Genomic DNA, 557 nt, shown 5'->3' with positions numbered 1-557 from the left:
GGCTCTCAGGCTCCGGTTCCTTCCCCGCCCCCGGAAACGGCCGCTGCGCCGCTCTGGGAGGCCTGGAGGACCGCGCGCCTCGATGGCGCTCGCGTCTCGACGGCTTCTAGCCCCTGCGGCGCGGCGGTCGCCAGGGCCCCAGCTAGGGGCGCGCCTGGGGGGTTCCGGGCCAGACCGGGTATCAGTCCCAGGCCCGACGGGCGCGGAAGGGCGTCGACGTTCTCGGCGCTCCGTTTCCCCCGGGATCGGAGGCAGCGAACGTTCACCCCTTGCGCCCACTCTCTGCCCCCGGGTGGCCTGCGGGGGTTGGGGAGCACGGTGGGGGATCGACTCCCGGACCCGCAGGAAGGGCGGAGCGGGGGCGTCCGGCCAGGGTCGGTCTCATATAAATTTATGACATTGTTTAGTATGACTTTTTTTTTTTTTTTTGAGCCTGAGTCTCGCTCTTGTTCCCCAGGCTGGAGTGCAATGGTGTGATCTGGGCTCACTGCAACCTCCGCCTCTCAGGTTCAAGCGATTCTCCTACCTGAGCCTCCGGAGTAGCTGGGACTACAGGT

General features: G+C 66.4%; 1 annotated feature.

The window, feature by feature from the left end:
* Positions 141-390: a silencer, noted in NCBI's record as "silent region_19710". NCBI's record gives its function as "represses an Ori minimal core promoter by ATAC-STARR-seq in GM12878 lymphoblastoid cells {active_cell/tissue: GM12878}" and the evidence as "EXISTENCE:reporter gene assay evidence [ECO:0000049][PMID:35858748]".

Source organism: Homo sapiens, chromosome 8 (assembly GCF_000001405.40).
Source record: "Homo sapiens chromosome 8, GRCh38.p14 Primary Assembly".
In the NCBI taxonomy this organism is placed as follows: domain Eukaryota; kingdom Metazoa; phylum Chordata; class Mammalia; order Primates; family Hominidae; genus Homo; species Homo sapiens.
Note: the sequence above shows the minus strand (reverse complement) of the source record. Positions and strands in the feature narration are given on the sequence as shown.